Source organism: Homo sapiens, chromosome 8 (genome assembly GCF_000001405.40).
Source record: "Homo sapiens chromosome 8, GRCh38.p14 Primary Assembly".
Lineage (NCBI taxonomy): Eukaryota > Metazoa > Chordata > Mammalia > Primates > Hominidae > Homo > Homo sapiens.
The window spans coordinates 118326644-118348641 of NC_000008.11; the positions used below are offsets into that span (position 1 = coordinate 118326644).

The 21998-nt window shown below is 41.6% G+C and overlaps 1 protein-coding gene and 1 long non-coding RNA gene across 11 annotated transcripts in view; one reads left to right on the top strand and one right to left on the bottom strand.

Annotated features, from left to right (window-relative positions):
- SAMD12 (sterile alpha motif domain containing 12) overlaps positions 1 to 21998 on the bottom strand; it is a 490139-nt gene that overhangs the window by 194819 nt on the left and 273322 nt on the right. Inside the window, exon 5 of one of the 9 annotated variants that reach the window (XM_047421780.1) lies at positions 1031 to 1323. The exons of 7 other annotated variants lie outside the window; for them this stretch is intronic. In XM_047421780.1, the coding sequence (XP_047277736.1) occupies positions 1262 to 1323 (62 nt within the window). In that variant the 3' untranslated portion in view covers positions 1031 to 1261. Of the gene's footprint in view, positions 1 to 1030; positions 1324 to 14098; positions 14600 to 21998 lie in introns of those variants that run through there. One more of the 9 variants, NM_001363274.2, reaches the window with a different exon arrangement.
- Positions 1 to 21998, top strand: part of LOC105375724 (uncharacterized) — a 141651-nt gene that overhangs the window by 45261 nt on the left and 74392 nt on the right. The window lies entirely within an intron of this gene.

The following is a 21998-nucleotide window of genomic DNA, read 5'->3' on the forward strand; positions in this document are numbered from 1 at the left end:
GGTATCTGGGGTTTTATCCTGAGTATCAAACCAAATTTAATCCTGCAGGACCCACATATGTTTTCCTGGTTCGTCAGATACTTTGTGGCAATGGGGTGCAAAACTGGCCTAATAAATCATTCTCCATAAAAGGCAGCAAGGTGCTTCATCTAATTAAAAAATGCTTATTATGGTTACATGTTCCATTCTTTTGGGACAGGGGGATGCCTTCTACATGATTCCATTTAGCAGCAGAATATAAATGCTTACGTATAATTAGCTTAACATAGCCAGCTTTATATCCCATTTACAGTGAAGCAAGTCAACAATGAAAGCAACTAGAAAATAGCTATTTTGGTCCCTTCTGTAAAGTAACCATGCAGTGGCCTGCTGACATGCACATGAGTGATCCCCCACAGATGCACTACTACGTCAGAGATTTGTTCAAAAAGATGGACTCAGTGAGGGAATTACATAGGGAATACAAGAATGGACTGCTTAGAATTCTAATGTGATTGATTTTTCAGGAGCATGGGCTTGCAGCTTTTTGTTTCTGTGTGTGTGTGTTTTTTAAACGACCTCCTGAAAAAATAATTCCTACTGACAGAGATCCAAATAATTGAAAGTCCTCCTGGCTTCTTTCTTGCTTCTGAAAATCCAGAATGTGTTCTCCATCTCTGTAGCCCTTCATCACAGTGTTTTGGGATGCTCTGATCTCCTCTTCCGAGGCTTGAATTCTCTTGAAAGCAGAAAATCTGACTCATCTGTCTTTGTCATTCACATCCAAAGCATAAGACATAGTATCCCCATGCCATAGATACCCTATAAACAGGTGTCAATTAAACCATTAGTTACTCCACATGGGATTGTTCTGGAGAACAATCAGCAGTCTCCCAGTATATGGAAGAACAATGGATAAATGTCGAGGAAGAGGGGAAAGATGATGGGAAATCAAGTGAAGTTTCATTGAAATTAATTCTCTGATACTTAAAAATAACTTCTAAATGGGTCCTTTCAAAATCATGGAATAAGGCTCTATAATAATAAAATGTTGATTTAAAATAAAGACCCATTTATTTTGCCATATGGTACATATCTGTGGCCCTTTGAAGATCTTAAGGAGTATTCAGGGTTGAAGGCCCCAACCTTTTATTGGCAGAAGGGTGGGCAAGTCTGACTGGCAAAGATGGCCTGATTGATGGGGCTTGCACCAAGGTCCTGACATCTCCCATTCAGAAGAGGAATCTTGAGCTTGAAAAGTTGTGAATGCCAGGGATTGCTTTTAAGGTTTGCCAGATCTGTTTTCGATCTTCAAAATGCAGACTGTGGGTGACATATTTTCACCTGTTTAAAGAGTCTTATTATAGATACTATATATTTATAAGCAAATATATAATAATGTAACAAACAGTTCATATATGTCAGTAATTCCTGATTATATCTTGGCTCAGGAATAACATGGTCTGCTCTCTTCACCTTTTTCAGTAGACAACCAATAGACATGACCGTGCCTCCTCCCTTCTTTAAACCCCACAGAAACTTGCCTTACTTTTAGGCTGAAACCAAAATCCTGATTGTAGCTTTATGAGAGGTTACAAATTTTATTGCTTCCCATCTTGGGCCTTCCTTACTATGTGCTTCTGCTAATTTCTTCATACCAACTTATTTCTAGTCTCTGGGCTCTTCCTACAGGCTGTGCCCTCTATTACACTGCTATTCTCCCTGCTTCTCTGCTTTCCTGGTTTTTCAATTCTGTTTCAGATTATTGGCAACTTCATTAATAAATCCTTTCCATAACCCGGTAATCTAGGTTCCCCCCTTATGTACAATTATAAAGCAATTCATTCACAACTGTTATTTAATAATTATTTGTGCAATTCTTTCTTTAATGCCCATGTTCTATTCTATATTTTAAGTGTGACGATATCCTGGCCCAGCACATAGGAGGTACGCAACAAAAATATGATGAATGACTGAAAGTGTCTTCAACCTCCATTGACCACAGACTTAAAGTATAAGGCAGTGTGATGTAGTGCATAGCAGGTGGATCTCGGGCTGTGTTTGAATTTAGCTTTTGCCCTTGACATCAACAGTGAGAAGTCATGGAACTCACTGAGCCTCACTGTTCTCATCTGTAGGTATTATGGTATGCACACAGTGCTGCTTGAAATGATGCTCTTCCTTGTTCATAGTCATATCACTGGTCATATCATCCTATGTGTAACACTAGCCATCTTTTTTGTTTCTAAGGGAAGGTCTCACATGAAAGCAAGCATCCCATCTTCCTCCCTTCAGTAATCCAAAGAGGAGGAGGCATAAGAAAAAGCTTCTCCTCAGCGCTAAAGTAGGTTGCTCAACAAAGGCATTTTATAAGCATCTAGAAACCTGCATCAGATGCCACGTAAACAGCCTCGAATTGAGGAAAAACATGTACGTCACCTCCTAAGAGTGCAGCACAGTTGTTTGCTAAAGATTAAGAGGAAGAAATTTTGGAAAAGTAAACAAAAAAAATCACTAAATTAGGAAGTTGGGCAACATAGATGAGTGGAAGGAACATGGTACTCTGCAGAAACCCCTTCCCTATCTTGGACATAAGGTCATCTAAGGCCACAGTGGAGTGGCCCACAGAAGGAACAGTGAGTGGCCAGCCTTGGCAAATTTTTCTCTTACATGGTTTAATTTTTACTTTTAGGTTTTTTGTATTATAAATGATCATATATAAAGGAGTTATTAAAATTATTATGATTAAAATTATTATAAATGAAATTAAGTTATATCAAAACTTAAAAATCATTTTAAAAATTAGTATTACTATGAAAAGTTGCAAGGAAACAAACACCTGTCCATTAGCTCCTGACCTTCAGAAGTGGAACATCAGTGGCATCTTCAAAGGTCTGGAGTGCATCTCCCTGATCCCCGCCCTTCACTCTCCATCTACGATTATCACTATGCTGTACTTGTGTTCATTATCCACTTGAAAACAAAAAACGCTTCTACCACCTAGGTAGATATCTCTAGTGTAAACAATGTACTGCGTCGCTTTGCCTGTTTGTGAAATTCATCTGAATGGGTCATTGCTGCATGTTTTCCATTATTTGACTCTTTTGCTCAACTTTCTTTTTCACATTTATTCATATTGATTCATGTGGCTAATTAGGGTTTATATTCCATTGCACAGATATAGCACAATTTATGTCATCATAATTGCAGATGAATGATGGGTTTATGTACAGTTTTGGCTATTACTTGACTTTTTTTGTGAACTTCCTCCAACATCTATGGGAGAGGTTCATATTAAGAACCTCTCCCATATTAAGAATATTAATGAGGGCTGAGATGGAGGGGTAAGGGCAGTTTGTAGGAGGAAGAAGAACTCGCTTGTATGGAACAACATGGAACATGTAGTGTAGGGAATAAAATGCACATGGCTCAATCACACAATTTTTCTCTAACCCAATTGTCACCAATGTAGCCATTCTGAAAGAAATAGAACAACCATTCTGGAACTAGACAGGATATCATCCCAACTCATGCAAGTTCTAGCTAATTTGCATGGGTAGACATTTCATGTAAGACACAAGATGTAGCTACGTTGGATTTAAGTATACAGAAGATATGGAGACACAGGCCTTGATGCAAGAGTTCCTGGATATGTAGAAAAACGTGAAGGCAAAGTTCTATTGCTGGGGCTGCTCACAAACTTGGCTCTTCTCCATGTTCCTTGGGCGGCTGAATGACAAAACTTATTATGTGAATACATATCATGCAGATCACAGCTTAAGAGTGCCTGGGAATGCAGAGAAGTCACCTAAGATACCACTGAAGAGTGAGTTTTAAAGTAGGTCCCAAACATGGAATGAAGAAAGTTCCTCAACACAAAAGGAGGAAATAAACATAACATACAAAAGATTAAAGAATCATATACTTTGGAAGAGACTGATCACAAGAGAAATACAAAAGTTTAATGTATCCTCAAAGTAATTATTCAAACCACAAACTTGCTGAAAGACAGGTAATGAGGCAACAGATTGAGATAAAAAGGTATCTTATCTTAAAAAAGGAATATAAGTAAGCAAATAATTACACTGCAGAATTTAAAACTCAATGAAAAGCAGTAAAGAGGAGAATCATCCCTTAATGAAACAGATTAAACTAGAAAAGTGGGACGGACAGTGGTTCCCAAGCGACATGATCATGAGAAATATGAAGGGGAGGGTTGAAAAATTACCTATCGGGTACAATGTTCACTATTTGGGGGACAAGTATAGTAAAAGCCCTGACTCCACCACCACACAACACATGTGTGTAAGAAATCTGCACGTGTACCTGCCAACTCTATAAAAATAGAAAAAAAAGAAGGAATATGAAGGTAGGGAAAGACGCATAAAATATACATTCCTAGGGTCAAATGTAGGAAATTTTGATTCAGTGGGTCTTGGGTCAGGCTAAGAAATCTCTATTTGCAAAAATATCCTGAGATGATGCTGAAAATCAATCTGGTTTAGTAACTCAAAAGGTCAGCACAAACTTGAGACAGTCACCAGAGTTCAGAGGGAGGAAAAAGGCAAGTGAAAGTGATCAAAGGAAAAAAGATGGACTAAGAACATGGACTTAGTATACACAGCAGATGCACCAGGGGAAGCAGAAGAGGAAGTAGTTAGAACCCAGGCAACAGAAACCATTTCAAAAATTTATATGGAAGAAAATTTCCCTTAAATGAAAAAATATCTCCAGTTTAAAAGGCTTTTACTATGGACTTACTGAAAATAGAAAAACACTTGGATCTACTGAATATTAACTCTAAGAAGAAGACACTTCTCAAAATCTTGGACAAAGAAATAGGGCCCCTGGAAAACAAGATACCAATGACATTTGTCTATGCGGTTTTCAGGGAGAATGGTGATTTTAGGATTCCTAAATTCTTTTATCAGCCCAAGCTGTCCATAGTAAGTGAAGGCAGCAAGAAGATATTTTCAGCCAGGGAAGGGCTCTAGATCGCCAATGTTCTCCATGATAACTGAGATTAACCAAGAGTGTGGAAATGGAGGCACATGAACATTTTAAAATAACAATTTCTAAGAAGAATGTAAATATTAATCTTGAAACAAGAGGTCCACACATGTGAGAATCAATAATTCAATTAGTCTAGACTGGGACAACAATCTTAAACTAGAACAACAAAAACTGGGAGGTTGAGGTGGTATTCGTGGGAAGCTGGAGGAGGAAAGTATGGTAATTTCTTATTTGTACACAGGGGTGAATCAATGGATTGTTTGTCCTCACTATTCATAATTGGGGAAACCTGAGGTTTAGAACATAGATTTTAAACATGTATTAATATTACTTAAACACCTGATAGTAACTATCAGAGGAACTTAAGACAGGTACCACACCTTCCAAATCCCCTAGGTGGGGTGGGGGAAAGGAATCAAAGAAAAACTCAGGCCATATAGCAAAACTAGCTCCCCCTTCAAAAAAAAGGGGGACAAAGGGAAAAAACTTAAAAAGTCAAATGTAAACTAAGAGAAGAAATAATAGCTTTTGTAAATATATGTACTCCTGAAAGGCTGAAAGTGTATAACACCAAAATATTAACAGTCATTTCTATGTTTAGAGTAACCTTAGGTTTTTTATTTTTGCAAAACTATTTAATTCCCTGACAATGATGACGTATTACATGTGTGACTGAAAATAAAACATAAACCTAAAATTCTCCTTCACTCATATGAATGAACACTGATCACAAAGCCACTCATTAAAACTAGAAATGACCAGCGTCGCTGCAGTGGCTGAGATTGGCATTGGCAGTGATTATTCAACTTGTTTCACTAATTTGACTCATTTCCCAAAACAGGATGTGCAGGTGTCGTTCGTTTATTTAGTCACAACACTGATTACTCTTTACAATTGTGCTCATCCCTGCTTTTTTCAGCATAAGCATTGCAGTGATAGGAAGGAGCCCTGGGATGATGGCCTGTGTGTGCATGCAGAGGGCATGGGACCTTGGCTCACAGCCGCATGACACTGGGTGCTCTGCCACAGCGTCATCCCTTGTAGGGCTGTGAGGGTTTACTGTTGACATTCCAATACTGGAGTAACATATGCTTTTCTGCTTTTCTCTCTACTTCGGTCTTAGCCCTCATACTTGCCCCATCACAAACCACAAACTCCAGCCATACCAAACAAGTCCATTTCTTGAATCTCACCACCATCTCTGGAATGCTTTCCCTTGTTAAGTCTCAGTTCTGGAGTCCCCTGCTTCTTGACCTCCGAACCTCTCCCTTTTAAGGGAAGTTAGGGGCCCTTCTAGTGACCTCATATTTATCTCATGCTTAGTAATTTGTCTTCCCGAGGAAATGTCTGTCTCATGAGGAAAACATGGGACTCTTGCAGGCAGGGAATGTGTGGTATTTGCCTTCCAGCATTAGCACAGTGCCTGAAAAATAGAAGGTACTCACACACAGTTATCGCAGGGAAGGCTTTTCTGAGTTGATTTACTCCAGCTCCCAGCCTCTCCTTCCCTCACTCACATATTTTCCTGGTGGGAGAGACCCTAAGTTCTAAAAGCCAGTGTCTGCCAGAGGCTTGTTCCTTGAACTTCTAATTTCCAACAGTCACCTCCTCTCTGTGCACAGTTGAGATTTTTATGCGACAAAATAAGTTGACAGGGGCTCAGTGACAAGTTTGCTGTGTTATGGCGCTCCAACCTCATTGAAAAACCCTTCTCATCTACTTCCTACACCAAGTTCTACCACTCCCTGGGTAGAAGCCAATGCCCAGGCTTGCTCAGCTTTCTGTATCATGATCCCAAGTGTATCACTTCTGAAAAAGAAGGGATGTTCATGAATAGCTGACGTTGATGTTAAAATATTCCCTAGTTGAAGAATTTCCTCACCCACACCTATCTTTTAGAATAAGTTATGATTCTTTTGTTTTTTTTTTTTAATTTACAAGTTAGGGCCAAGAAGGAGTGTCCCATTTTCAGGACAGATCAAGGGAGTATTCAATACAGAAGGACTTGACTTATAGTAAAGTGTTAGTCACTAGGAGCTCAAGAGATACTTTAAAGGACCAGGATTTATGTACCCCATTCTCCTCTAGCCTCCTCTTTGATCACTGACCTTCTCAACCTTTACGGTATAACCTTTAATCCAATCACACTGTACTCAGTGATCAAATAGCCCAGGCACCATGCCTCTGGTGTGTGTGTGTGCCCGTTGGCGGGGGGCGGGGGTATGTCTGTGTGTGTGTGTGTGCGTTGGTGGGGGATATGTGTGTGTGTGTGTGCACGTTGGCAGGGGGTATGTCTGTGTGTGTGTGTGTGTGCACATTGGCGGGGGGCAGGGGTGTGTCTGTGTGTGTGTGTGTGTGTGGGAGGGGAGTGTCCCACCCCTTCAGTGCCCATCCTGCAAACCAATAATCCTCTTTCAAGATGCAGCCCAAACAGCACATCTTCTGCAAAGCACTCCCACAGTTAGAAATATAAACAAAGTACTATGGAAGAAGCTATTAATACTTATGTCATTGTATTCTAATTTATCTGTTTACACATCTCTATTTACACATTTATTTAACAACCCGTTATTGAGCATCAGGCACCAATCGGTGAGCTCTTTGAGTACCTGGCCTGTGTCTGTCATTCCTATCATGCTAGACCTCAACACCGTACCTGGCATAAGCTATGTACACAGTATCTCTTTGGTGCATGAAACAATGATGGAAAGATAAAACCCAGCTCTTTGATATTCAGGAATGATTATGCTCATTTTATAGTGAAGAGATGCCTGCCTTTGTATCTAAGATATGTAGGAGATTCATCACAATTTCTTCTTCCCCTTCCCCTTCCCATTCCTTCCCCCTCTCCTCCCTTACCCTCCTCTTTATTTTTAATAAATAACTCTTATTGTCAGGAAGTTCTTCTCAAATCAAATTGGAATCACATCTCCCATAATTTGAGCATCATTTGGAATCGGCCTTTCTCTTTTGTTTTTGAGACAGGGTCTCATTCTGTTACCCAGGCTGGAGTGCAGTGGAGCGATCATGGCTCACTGAAGCCTCAACCTCCCAGGCTCAAGCGATCCTCCCACCTCAGCCTCCAGAATAGCTGGGGCTACTGTCATGCACCACCATACCCGGCTAATTTTTGTATTTTTTAGCAGAGATTGGGATTCACCATGTTGCCCAGGTTGGTCTCGAACTGGTCTCAAGCCATCCTCCTGCCTCTGCATCTCAAAGTGCTGGATTACGGGCATGAGACACCATGCCCGGCTCTCCCTTTCTTTGAAGTTGCAATCATTGCTCTTTGTAACTCTTCATATATTTGAAAATTATTCTAACATTTTCTCAGCGAGTCCCACTTCCCAAACACGTGGTGTGAGAGTTCCAGTTAACTTTACTGTGCTCATGGAGACCAGTTTTCAAGTCTAGATCTCTTTTTAAAATATGTTCTCTTGTGTCATGTTGAAGGTCTTTGCATCACACTGCAGTTGTGGGTCCAGAAACGTCCTAGCCCCAGTGAAGGCACAGCCACCACTAAAGGAGGAACTTCCTGCATCTCTTAGGAGTACACATGCAAGACCTCAAAGGTCCTCTACCTACTGTGCAATGCTCCCAATGTGGCTCATCCAGGACTGCTATTGTTGTCTCAACCAACAAATCCAGATTTTCCCTCCTCTGCCATTTGTGCTTGTAACTCGCAGCTTTCCACCAGGATCATGTTTCCCACTCTCTCACCCAATACTGCAAAGTAGTTGAGGTTGGTTTTCCAAGAAATTGTCTTCCCTCACTATTTAGGGGACTTGACATAAAGCTACTTTGTCCGAAGTCCCAAGTACAATGTCAAATCGTACCTAGCAAAGAATTTTCAGGAACTACTGATTCTCCCACAACCTGGTGTGACACACTAAATGCTTTCCCCTTTTATCTTGCTATTCTGAGGGTGGCATGCCAGTTTATCATTAAAGTGTGTGCCGAATCTTTCAGTTGTGCCATGCTATCTACCACCCTAGGGAATGGTTAGCCATTGAACATTCTTCCTCTGGCACCAGGAATGCAATATGAGATGTCAGGTTAGGTAAAATAGGAACAAGGAAGTAATATGCACTGAGGGCCTTTTCTATGGCAGGTACTGCACTTGTATTTTGTTTTGGGACAGGGTCACCCAGGCTAGAGTGCAGTGGCATGATCATGGCTCACCGCAGCCTCGACCTGCTTGGCTCAAGCAATCACCTCAGCCTCCCTAGTAGCTGGGACAACAGGTGCACACCACTAGCCCTCTAAGTTTTGTACTTTTTATAAAGACGGGGTTGCCCAGGCTGGTCTCTAACTCCTGGGCTCAAGCAATCCATTGCTTTTGCCTCTGAAAGCGCTGGGATTACAGGCATAAGGCACCACACCCAGCCCACGTTTTCCTTTACTCCTTAAAACCACCTCATGATGTAAGGAGATGTTACTTCCATGCTACAAATTAGTTCATTAAGATTTGGCAAGATTTGGCATCAGTAATCTGATGCTAGTCACATGATCAGAGAGTGACGGCACAGATATTTGAACCCAGCTCTGACTAACTCTAAAACAATACCAGGAGTTTCCTTCTAGAAAAGGTAATTAAACATCAGGATACATTGTCAGAGACGGCTAAATATGATCATTTTCTCGAAAGCTTAGAAACAAGCATAATTGCTCTCTTCTATGGATAGGTCATACATGGTTTTACCTAAAATCAGGAGCATGGACAATACAACCTTTCAAAGCTTCTTTTGAGTCTATGATTTTTATCATGATAGAATTATCTTAATGAATTGAGGAAGAAAGGGCCTTATGCTTCAGGAATTCCACCCATACTGTCTCCATTTGAAATTTTCAGTGCATGTGTCTTTATAGCAGCATGATTTATAATCCTTTGGGTAGATACCCCGTAATGGGATGGCTGGTTCAAATGGTATTTCTAGTTCTAGATCCTTGAGGAATTGCCACACTGTCTTCCACAGTGGTTGAACTAGTTTACAGTCCCACCAACAGTGTAAAAGTGTTCCTACTTCTCCACATCCTCTCCAGCACCTGTTGTTTCCTGACTTTTTAATGATTGCCATTCTAATTACTGTGGCACTATTCATATTAGCAAAGACTTGGAACCAACTCAAATGTCCATCAATGATAGACTGGATTAAGAAAATGTGGCACATACACACCATGGAATACTATGCAGCCACAAAAAGGATGAGTTCATGTCCTTTGTAGGGACATGGATGAAGCTGGAAACCATCATTCTGAGCAAACTATTGCAAGGACAGAAAACCAAACACTGCATGTTCTCATTCATAGGTAGGAATTGAACAATGAGAGCACTTGGACACAGGGTGGGGAACATCACACACTGGGTCCTGTAGTGGAATGGGAGAAGGGGGGAGGGATAGCATTAGGAAATATACCTAATGTAAATGATGAGTTAATGGGTGCAGCACACCAACATGGCACATGCATACATACGTAACAAACCTGCATGTTGTGCACATGTACCCTAGAACTTAAAGTATAATTAAAAAAAGAAAAAAAAAGGAAGAGAGAAATAAAAAAAAAAGAGAAATTTTCAGTGCTCCAGATTACGGGACAAGATTATGCAAACAAAGCGGGTCCTAGTAATTGCTGGCTTGGAACCAGTAATCCATGTCACACGCCAGCTCAGCTTTTGCACATCACTGTCCCTGTACATGCCCTGGGTTTTAAGGTATTGATTGATTCAGACCCCTCCAAAGCAGGGAGACCAAGCATGCTATCTTGTCATGCTTTCTTTATTTCACCTTCTAGTCATGTCCTTCAGGGTGGGCAATACAGTAGTGCCCCCTTATCCACATTTTTGCTTTCTGCCGTTTTAGTTACCTAGGGTCAACCTCAGCCTAAAAATATCACATGAAAAATTCCAAAAATAAACGATTCATAAGTTTTAAGTTACATACCATTCTAAAGGACATGATAAAATCTCATGGTCTCCCACATGCTGTCCCAAAGAGGGACATAAACTCAGCGTGTATCCACACTGTAGACACTCCCTCCTTAGTCACCGTCTTGCTTCTCAGATGGACTGTCCTGATATTGCAGTGTTTCTATTAAAGTAACTCTTATTTTACTTAGTAATTGATCCAAAGCTCAAGAGTAGTGATGCTAGCAATCAGGATATGCCAAAGAGAAGCCGTACATTGATTCCTTTAAGTGAAATAGTGAAAGTTCTCAACTTAATAAGGAAACAACAAAAAAAATGTATGCTGAGGTTGCTAAGATCTGTGGTAAGAACAAATCTTCTATCCATTAAATTGTGAAGAAACAAAAAGAAATTAATGCATACTATACATAGGATGCCAGTTTAAGACTTCCACCAGGGGTCTTGGAAGGTATCCCCTACAGATAAGGGGAGACTACTGTACAGCTTTTACTCACTTAACAATGTAGCACCTATCTAAAGACAGAAGTCTTGGGCCATGAGATTCTAGATTTAAATGTACTGAAATCATCAGGATAGCAGATCACACAGAAAACACTCAACAGCTAAGCGTAATGTATAACTACTCTACAGATACAAGAAAGGTTGTGAAACTTAAAAGGACAGAAACAAAGATTAGCAAGTAATGTTTTCCCAAAGACATAAATTCTTCCCTTTTTGAAAGTGGATCTCTTCAGCTAGAACTGGATGAAGTATGCAGTCAGTACATAAGATGTGCAAGTTAATAACCACTTTTTATTAATAGTTTCTGCAGCTATTTAATTTTAATAATATTTGATATCAATTCTTATTCTTTGGTCTAATTACCAAGACAGTGAGTTTATGTTTACTTTTTGAATTCCAATGTGGAAACGGACTAAAAAACAATGTGTTAAAGAATAAAATGAACGCTGATAAAGATAATGTTTTCTCCTCAAAATGTTAAGATGCTGATATACTTTTAGACTATGAGGAAGAGAGGAGTTTGGTTGCCATTGCTGTTGTTTTTACCTTTTCTTTTGGGATTTCTACTTGAAGGCATTCAGAATCTATTGAGCAAAGGCAGCAAATTAACTACTGGTTAAGTATTTCACCAAGTTCTGTTTTGCACACAGAAAGTCATTTCTAACTACAGCTCAGCCTCCCTGGGCTAGAACACAGCCCTGTTGCTTGGAAATTAACAGGGCAGCAAAGGCATCCCTACCTAACAATTTCCTGACAACCTCATGTTTTTGTTATTTAACATAAACAAATAGAAATCTTCCAAAACCCAAATGAATGTTAATCAACACTCCGTAAAATGTTGATCATATCAATATATTGACATCGATACTCTAGCTCACTGGGAGAATCAAGAATGAGCCGCCACTTATCTCTAAGATTAAACAAAGATCTTTGCTTCTCTTCTGTCCTGTTTCACTAACAACCTCATAAAGAAAGAAAGGGGGCCAGGCACAGTGGCTCACACCTGTAGTCCCAGCATTTTGGGAGGCTGAGGTGTGAGGATTGTTTGAGTCCAGCCAGGAGTTTGAGACCAGCCTGGGCAACATAGGGAGACCCTGTCTCTACAGAAAATAAAAAATTAGCCAGGTTTGGTAGTGCATGCCTGTAGTCCCAGCTACTTGGGAGTCTGAGGCAGTAGGATCACTTGAGGCTGGGGAGGTGAGGGCTGTAGTGAGCTCTGATTGTGCCACTGCACTCCAGCCTGAGCCACAGAGTGAGACCCTGTCTTAAAAAATAAAGAGAAAAGAAAGAAAAGGAAAGAGAGAGAGAAAGAAAAATGCACAAGCTGACACTTTGCTAAACCTACTATAGAAAGAAAAAAGACAATTCCTCGAAATGCATGGGGATGGTAGGTGGAAGGGGAGCAGGCTGATTACAATCAGGGCCTTCCTCATATCTCTGTTAAAAAATCAAGCAAAACTCTGGTGTCTATCCTAAATCTTTTGGCTGCCGCCGCAGCTCTGAGGAGTGGTGCTGATCACGTGGCCTCGCTGCGTTTCTGTGGTCTGTGCAAGCACAGCCTGATGGAATGATGCGGCAGTGATTTTGTTCTTGCTTTTCTGATGGGTCCCTGAGGGTGATTCTGAGTAATTTTGTCTCTGTTCCTGCAGCTGCGATGGGTCAGTCCTCTCTTTCTCCTCCCTATGCACTCACTTCAACACTGAGAGGCTGTCTCTTCAGAGCAGGTGGTTTGCAGCCCCTTGCCCCTGTCAGGGCTCCTCCAGGGCACGTTTTCACACATCTTGTAGTTTCATCTGGGTATGGGTGTGAACAGAGGCCAAGCACAGATGAAATGGTGTTTCTGAATAAAAGAATGTGCTACCCAGGCGGCATGACCGGCATTTAATTTGCTGCCTGTGTTCAATAGACTGTGAGCTCCTCAAGGGCAGGGATCGTGTCTCATTTGTCTTTGTACCCTCGGTGACTAACACACATTCCTTTGTTCATTCATTTATTCAACAAACATTTACTGAGAGCTGGAGGAACAAGATGAATAAGGCACAGGCTTCAACAAAGAAGTAGACATTTCATTTGCCCCACAGGCTGTATTGCCATGGAATAAATTTCTAGAACGTTAAAAGATACACAAATATACACCCAAAAGAAAAACACAAAAGCTGAGCTGTCTTATTCATAGACTCATCCATGTCAAAGATGAATGGGAGCTGCCTTTATATAGATAAGAAAACCAGTTACCAGGGGTGACAAATTCTTGACCTTATGCTCTCTTTACCTTGCCAAGGGGGCCCATGGAGGTAAAGTATTTCAAGTAGACATTTTATTTGCTGTCTGTATCATTCTTGCCCTTACAACTTAATTTTGTCATGTATATACTCATACATATATGTATATATGTATATTATTATTTTTAATATTTTAATTCCCTGCCAGGCGCAGTGGCTCATGCCTGTAATCCCAGCACTTTGGGAGGCCAAGGTGGGTGGATCACTTGAGGCCAGGAGCTGGAAACCAGCCTGGCCAATATGGCGAAACCCTGTCTTCACTAAAAATACAAAAATTAGCTGGGTGTAGTGGTGCATGGCTATAGTTCCAGCTGCTTGGGAGGCTGAGGCAGGAGAATCACTTGAACCCGGGAGGTGGAGGTTGCAGTGAGCCAAGATTTTGTCACTGCGCTCCAGCCTGGGCGACAGAGTGAGACTCTGTCTCAAAAAAATTTTAATTTCCAAAAGTATACACAATTCAAGGTTCTCCAGACTGAAATTTAAATAAACATTATGACCCAAATTCCTATAGGAGCCAGGATGTAAAACAATTGAAGTAAAGCCAGAGGAAGGAATGGGGATCAGAACAGAGCGCACTGGAAAGGCATTCTCTTGTTTCAGTTGTCTATTCTAAATTTGTGGCTTAAAACAATCATTTTTACTTTGTTCACACTTTTGTGGGTGAGGCATTCCTGAAGGGCTCAGCTGGGTGGCTTATTTCTGATCCTTATGACATCACCTCATGGGGATGAAAAACGAATGGCTTCTTCATTTGTGTATCTGGCACCTTAGCGCTCCTTGACCTTTCTGTCTTTCTCCACATGGTGTTTCTTCCTCTAGGGCCTCTTCATGTGGCTTGGTCTTCTCACAGCATGGTGGTCTCAGGGTAGCTGGCCTTGTGACATGGTGCCTCACTGCCCTGAACACATGTCCCAACAGATAGAAAATGAGCCAGTGTATGCCTAGCTTAGCCTCACCTCTCGTATTTCACTGATAAGAGCAGTCACTAAGCCTTTCCAGATCCAAGAGGAGCATACCTAGACCCCACCTCTCAAGTAAAGAAATGTTAAATAATTTACAAACATCTTTAATATGCCATAGTCTAAGAGACCACCTCTGTGCACCAGATTATTGCATTGTGTGGCTGTGGCCCAGTCTGAATCTGTTCAGGCTGCACCACAGACAGACTGGGTAGTTTATAAACCACAGAAATTTATCTCTCATGGTTCTAGAGGCTGAATGTCTGGGATCAGGATGCCAGCGTGGTCAGTTTCTGGTGCCGGCTGCAGATGCCAACCTCTCCTTGTGTCTTTGCGTAGTGGAAAGCAAGTGAGAGAGCTCTCTGGGACCGCTTTTATAAGGGCACTGATCCAATCACTTCCCAAAAGCCACACCTCCAAATGCCATCAGATTGGGATTAGTGTTTTGACATATCAATTTCGGGAGGGCACAAACAGGCAGTATATGACAGGCCCAGTGTCAAAATAGTTTAAATTTTTAAAACAGAAGATAAACATTTATATTTTAAATTGTTGAAATCTGGTTTTAAATATTGGCAACTAATTCAAATTTTCTGAAACCGTCTGTGTGGCAGACATGCGTATTCACAGAAATGGCCCATGCCCACCATTGTGTACTCTCTGCTTAAAGCACTAAACAAAATTCCTATGAAAAAGTTTTAAGAGGCCTGGTGTGGTGGCTTATGCCTGTAATCCCAGCACTTTGGGAGGCCAAGGTGGGCAGATCACCTGAGGTCAGGAGTTCGAGACCAGCCCGGCCAACATGGCAAAACCCCGTCTCTACTAAAAATACAAAAAAATTAGCCAGGCTTGGTGGCAGGCATCTGTAATCCCAGCTACTCAGGAGGCTGAGGCATGAGAGTCATTTGAACCCAGGAAGTGGGGGTTGCAGTGAGTCGAGATCATGCCACACTGCACACCAGCCTGGGCGACAGAGCAAGACTTTGTCTCAAAAAAAAAAAAAGTTTTAAGAGACTACTGACATATATTTGGAAACATTTTGCCTACATCTTAAAATAACAATCTTAAAAGTGTTTCACTGTCTTTGATAAGAGACTTGAAACCCACCAATCGTAGATAAGGGATCTTTCTACATAACTCTATCATGCCCACAAGAGAAAATCGAATATCTCCTACTTTGAAATTTCCCTTTTCCCATTTCTATCTTGGCCAAATTACAGTCCGATAAAGAATATAGTGAGTTTCATTTCTTGTTGAACTTGACTGAGAACTAGAAATGTAAGATGACGATGGAAGTACTGACTTAATGCCCCAAAGGAAAGAAAAACAAAAAGAATCCCACAAATTGAATAAGAAGTCACTGATATAAACAGTCCCAAATCCAGATTAGTAGTTCTCAAATGCTAGTGATAGAATCACCTTCTGACTCAGAAGAACTAGGAGATGTCCCAAGAACCTTCATTTTCAATTAATTACTCTAGAAGTTTCTGATATAGGTGGGCCATGTACTGCATTGCTGGTATTCAATTACATCAACAGGCTTTTGACAGACAGAAAAATGGGCACAGCTATAGTCAGGATGGTGCCTCCTTTGAGGAGTTGGTGGTGGAGGTGGTAGCATTGCAGTCAAGATAAGAATGTATATGGTGGACCCTATTTCCCTGACCCAGTGTGGAAAAAGTGCTAGGAGTAGGAAATAGGGTTCTAGCTCTAATTTAGTATTGGCCAACTAAGTGAGCTCACAGAAGTCATTTCCCCTCTCAAGACCTCAGTTTCCTCATCTGTAAGATGAGAAGGGTTGGCCTGGGCTCCAACAATGGCAAGTGCAATTCCCCACATCCCATGCAGGAGGCAGGTCCTGCTCACCCCGTGCACCAATCTTTCCCCAGTTCTCCTCTACTCAGCCACTTCCAACAGAGTGGAGTTAGCAAATTGGTTATAACCAATTTTCCAGCCTTGATGGAGGATCTCAGGGATCTCTTTCTCTTCCTGCTTGTGTGGCTACATGATAGTTTTGGAGAGAAAATCTGGTGGAAAAAATAATAAAAGGTAGTTTTGGAGGGGGGGAATCGTTTTGGGGACAGATGCTAACCAGAAATGCAACATGCAAAAATTGACAGGGGAGTAGTATCAAACAGCCTGCAAGCCAGTCCCAGCCCTATTTCGGTTAACATGGTGATGAAGATCTTTGTGGTTTCCTCTAGAGTATCCCAGCAGTCACATCTCAGGACAATCAACAGGAGGGGCTGGGTTGGGATTAGGGTGAGCAAATTTGTGATCTTGTACATACATAAACTTAAGAGTAAGTGCCTTTTTACATTTTGTGCCAAGCACTTTGCTTGCCTTACCTCATCCTGGCCCTGAAGAGGTGTATTAGAACAATAGAGTTGCAAGCTCACTGAAGTTTCCATCTCTACCACAGACCCCTTGGGCCAAGGAGTGTATTGTGTAGAGGGGGAAATGCAAACAGATCAGGCCGGACTAGGTCAGGACTTCCATGGATTTGATTTACTGAGGGGCACTCAATATAATGGACACAAGCTTTGGATCTGCATTGGGTTAGCTGTGCAACTTCCGTTAAGTTACTTAACCTCTAAGTTTCAGCTATCTGATTTGTGAAGTGGGAATAAGAATATCTTCTTGGCAGGGATGTTGTAAAGACTGAGAATGTGCATATATATATGGCACATAGTACATGGTCATTACATGGAAATTCCTTCCTGACTTCCAGCTTCCATTCTGCCTCTAGTGACTGCCAGGAAATGAAGCAAGCGAGGGACAGCAAACTTCAATCCAAACATGGATGTGGAAATCCATGCCCTTGTGCAGAGGAAGCCCTGTAGGTCTTTACATTCATTGTTGACTTTCTGACTCACTGTTGCATTCTGTTTTAACTCCCCCTATCCTGCTCAGGTTGAACTAATGTGGGAAGGTTGACAGTACAATGCTGGGACCTTGTCCACTAGGAAACATCTCCCAGGGCTGCTCTGAGGTCACAGTTCCAGGGAAAAATACCACAAAGGCTTGTGTCGTAGGCCAACTTCGTAAGAATTACAGCTACCTTCTCCTTATGTGATTAGTATATGCTTAGCCCAGTGCTGAGCACTTTATAAACTTTATCAAAGTCAGCCCTTGCAACATTGTAAGAGGTAGATATAACTATTCCCAGTTTAAAGATGAGGAAATAGAGGCTAACATGGCTAGTAAACTGCAGAAGTGGGATATGAACTGGGTTTGTTCCTGAGCTCTTAACCATTGTTTCCTATTGATCATTCATCACTCTGGAAATGGAAACAACAGAAGAAGAGTTCCCAGCTCTCATGTAGAATAGCACTAGCATGTGATAAAGAATAGGATAACACACCATGTCATAGCTCGACTAGACAGTAAAGTCCTTGAGGGCAGGGACTTGTTTTATTCTCTTTGGTATCTCCATTTTTTAGTGGAATGAAAGGCTCTCAGCAGGAGCTCAATCACTGGGTCTTGGATGTACGGTCACATGCCACATAATGACATTTTAGTAAAAAATGAATCAATATACAATGGTGGTCCCATAAGATTATGATGGAGCTGAAATATTCTTATCACCTAGTAACATCATCACCATTGTAACATTACAGTACTATTATTATATTTTTATATATTTAGTGTAGTTTAAGTGTGCAGTGTTTATAAAGTGTACAGCAGTGTTCAATAATGTCTTAGGTCTTCACATTCACTCACCACTCACTGACTCGCTGACTCACCCAGAGCAACCTCCAGTCTTGCAGGTTTCATTCACGGTAAATGCCCTATACGAGGGTACCATTTTTTATTTTTTATCCTGCATTTATACTCTATCTTTTCTAGGTTTAAACATATTTTGATATACAAATACTAACTATTGTGTTAAAATTACCTATAGTATTCAGTACAGTGACATGCTGTACAGGTTTGCAGCCTATAGCAATAGATTATACCACATATCCTAGGGTTGTAATAGGCTATACCATCTAGGTTACTGTAAGCACACACTGCGATGCTCACACAATGAAATTATCTAATGATGCATATCCCAGAACATATTCCTGTCACTAAGCAATGCATGACTGTATAAGCAATAAAGTGATACGCGCTAAGGTATATGGTAGAGACAGAGATACTGATGAGAATGCACAGGTCTGGAAAGGTTAGTAGTGGTACAATGAGGAGGGCCAATTTCTCAGAGGACAGAGTGGAACCTGAGCTGGGATTTGGAGAGGTCAAAAAGGACAAAGATATAGAAGAAAGACATAAATGAAGGCATGATGCAGCATAAGCGTGGGGTGTAGACAGTGAGGAAGACAAACTGCTTAGAGAATTATCTGTCCAACTAGCCAATGGGGCAAGGAGCCAGTTAAACCAACTAGTCCCTGGTGGCTTGTTGGAGTAAGATTGTATTAACTGGCAACAGGTCAAGAGCAGTGAAAACAAGGTCAAAGGACAGGGTAGGTTAGTCTAGGCATACAAAGTAGGGGAGTAAAGTGGAGCCGGCTGGACTGCAGGAGACACAGTTCCCCACCCATGGTAGAGGATATGCAAATATAACTTTTGGCATCTGGAAAACACATAAAAGGAAGACAAGTCAGCCATGAAGAATGTGGAGGAGGAGGAGTACCAGGAAAGGTGCTGAAAGAACAGATGCTGGGGCTAACCACCGTCTCCATTTGGCTTGTCCTGCACCGCAGCAGCCTACTTGCTCTCTGGAGACCCTTGGTGCATCTGTTTATTCTGTAAAATGAACTCAGGGAAATCATAATTATCGAGGGATGTCACAGGCTCCGGCATGAGGCCCCAAAAGCCATATAATCCCTTTAGTAGGGTTTTCTGATTAGATGTAGTAAACAAACTTTATAAAACTATATAAATTATATATGTAATTTTATTATAATTTCATACACATGGTAATATAGATTTATACAAATAATTTTAATATGGGCTAAAGAGCTAAATCTAAAAATGGAAGAACATAAAGGATGGTTATGTCTTGAGGCTACTGTTTCCAGGCTTATCCTTCCCAACTGAATATTCCAGAAAGGTGGTAGAAATGTACTAGTCAGTTTTGCTCTCTCAATATATATTCAATCTATGTGTCCCAGGCAGGAAGAAAGTGCTATTCCACATGAGCCTTCGGAACCCTAACATTTTTCACCAAAAGCCCAGAATAATTATGTGGGCTAATGTCTGCCTCTAACTTGTGGGATTGAACAGCTCCTCAGGGCTGCATGCTGTAGAACAAATGACCCATGAGATGTTAAACGGCATTGAGAGGGAAATAATTTTCTGGATGTGACAGGGGGTCTCTAAGAGCAACCCCAGGTTCTGCGATTCACTAGGAGAACTCACAGGACTCAGCATATAGTTGTATTCATGGCTAAGATTTACTATAGCAAAAGGATACAAAGCAAAATCAACAAAGGGAAAAGGCACCTGGGACAGAGTCCAGAGAAAATCAGGCATGAGCCAACAAGAGTCCTTCCTTTAGTAGAGTCATACAGGATGTGTTGAATTCCTCTAACAAGGAGTTGTGACAACACATGTGAAATGTCTATGAGGCAAGCTCATCAGAGACTCAGTGGCCAAGGTGGCTGTTGTTGTCAAAGACAGGGTCTTGCTCTGCTGCTCAGGCTAGAGTACAGTGGTGCAGTTACAGCTCACTGCAGCCCCGAATTCCCGGACTCATGGGATTCCTCCTGCCTTAGTACCCCTTTACCCCCATGGCCCACCTTGAATAGCTGGGACTACAAGCACGTGCCACCATGCCTGGTTAATTTTCTAAAACTACTTTGTAGAGACAGGGTCTCGCTGTGTAGCTCAGACTGGTCTTGAACTCCTGGGCTCAAGTGATCTTCCTGCCTTGGCCTACCAAAGTGCTGGAATTACAGGCATGAGCCACTGGGCCCAGTCTCAGTGTCCAAGGTTTTTAGTGGGGATCCTTCCTAGCATGTGCCAAAATTCTAGGCTCCCAGAAGGAAAGCAGGTGTTCAGCATAAATGACACTGTTTATACAAACAGTTCAGGCACAGTGAACCATTCTGGTTAGGGAGTGTGGGAACCCTCCCAAAACCCAAGTTTTCTAGACACCAGCAGGGGCCAACCTTGCAATCACAACCTTCTAAGGAAAACAATCTAAGGCCTGCTATGTTAACTGCTTTCTCCACAATGGTCTCAAATATGTGTAAAATGTGGGGAAAGGTGGGAAAAGTCTGGATACTACAGCTTTTTGAAGATTAATAATGCATATTAGCATATTAAAGGGTTTGAGAAGTACTACACTATAAAAGGCTGTTTTTTAAATGTATATTTTCCAAACCTATTTGACTATAATATTTTTTAAAAAGAACACTTATAACATCCTGTTGATACAAATGTTCTACAGAATACAATTTGTGAAATCCTGGACTAAATGGATAAACTTCCATCACTTGTCTGGCTTCAGTTTTCACCATCATCAAACACACTAGTAATAATAACTAGCTCTTACATAGCTCTTACTGTGTGTTAAGAGCTTTTTTATAGAATAACTTATCTAATAAGAGGTTGAACTAGGCTACCTCTAAGCATGGCAAAGTGGCACAGTCAGGGGTTAACATTGCACGCACTGAATCTGACTGCCGGGGCTAGTTTCCCAGCTGTGCCAGTGATCAGCTGTATAGCAAGCTCCTTAACCTTAGTGTGTCTCAGTTTCCTTACCTGTAAAACAAGAACAGTGCTTAGGACACATCAACTGCTACAACTGTGTTTATTACTCATTTTTATTTTTTATATTTTTTGAGACAAGGTCTCAATCTGTGGCCCAGGCTGGAGTGCAACGGTGCCCTCTCGGCTCACTGCAGCCTCTGCCTCCCAATATCAAGTGATCCTCCCACCTCAGCCTCCCAAGTAGCTGGCACTACAGGTATGTGCTACCATGCCTGGCTAAATTTTTGTAGAGACAGGGTTTTGCCATGTTGCCCAGGCTGGTCTCGAACTGCTGGCCTCAAGTGATCCACCTGCCTCGGCCTCCCAAAGTGTTGGGGTTACGGGCGTGAGCCACTGCTCCTGACCACTTATTACTTTTTTTTTTTGAGATGGAGTATCGCTCTGTTGCCTAGGCTGGAGTGCAGTGGTGTGACGTCCGCTCACCGCAAGCTCCGCCCCCCGGGGTTCGTGCCATTCTCCTGCCTCAGCCTCCCGAGTAGCTGGAACTACAGGCGCCTGCCACCACGCCCAGCTAATTTTTTTGTGTTTTTAGTAGAGACGGGGTTTCACCGTGTTCGCTAGGATGGTCTTGATCTCCTGACATCGTGATCTGCCCACCTCGGCCTCCTGAAGTGCTGG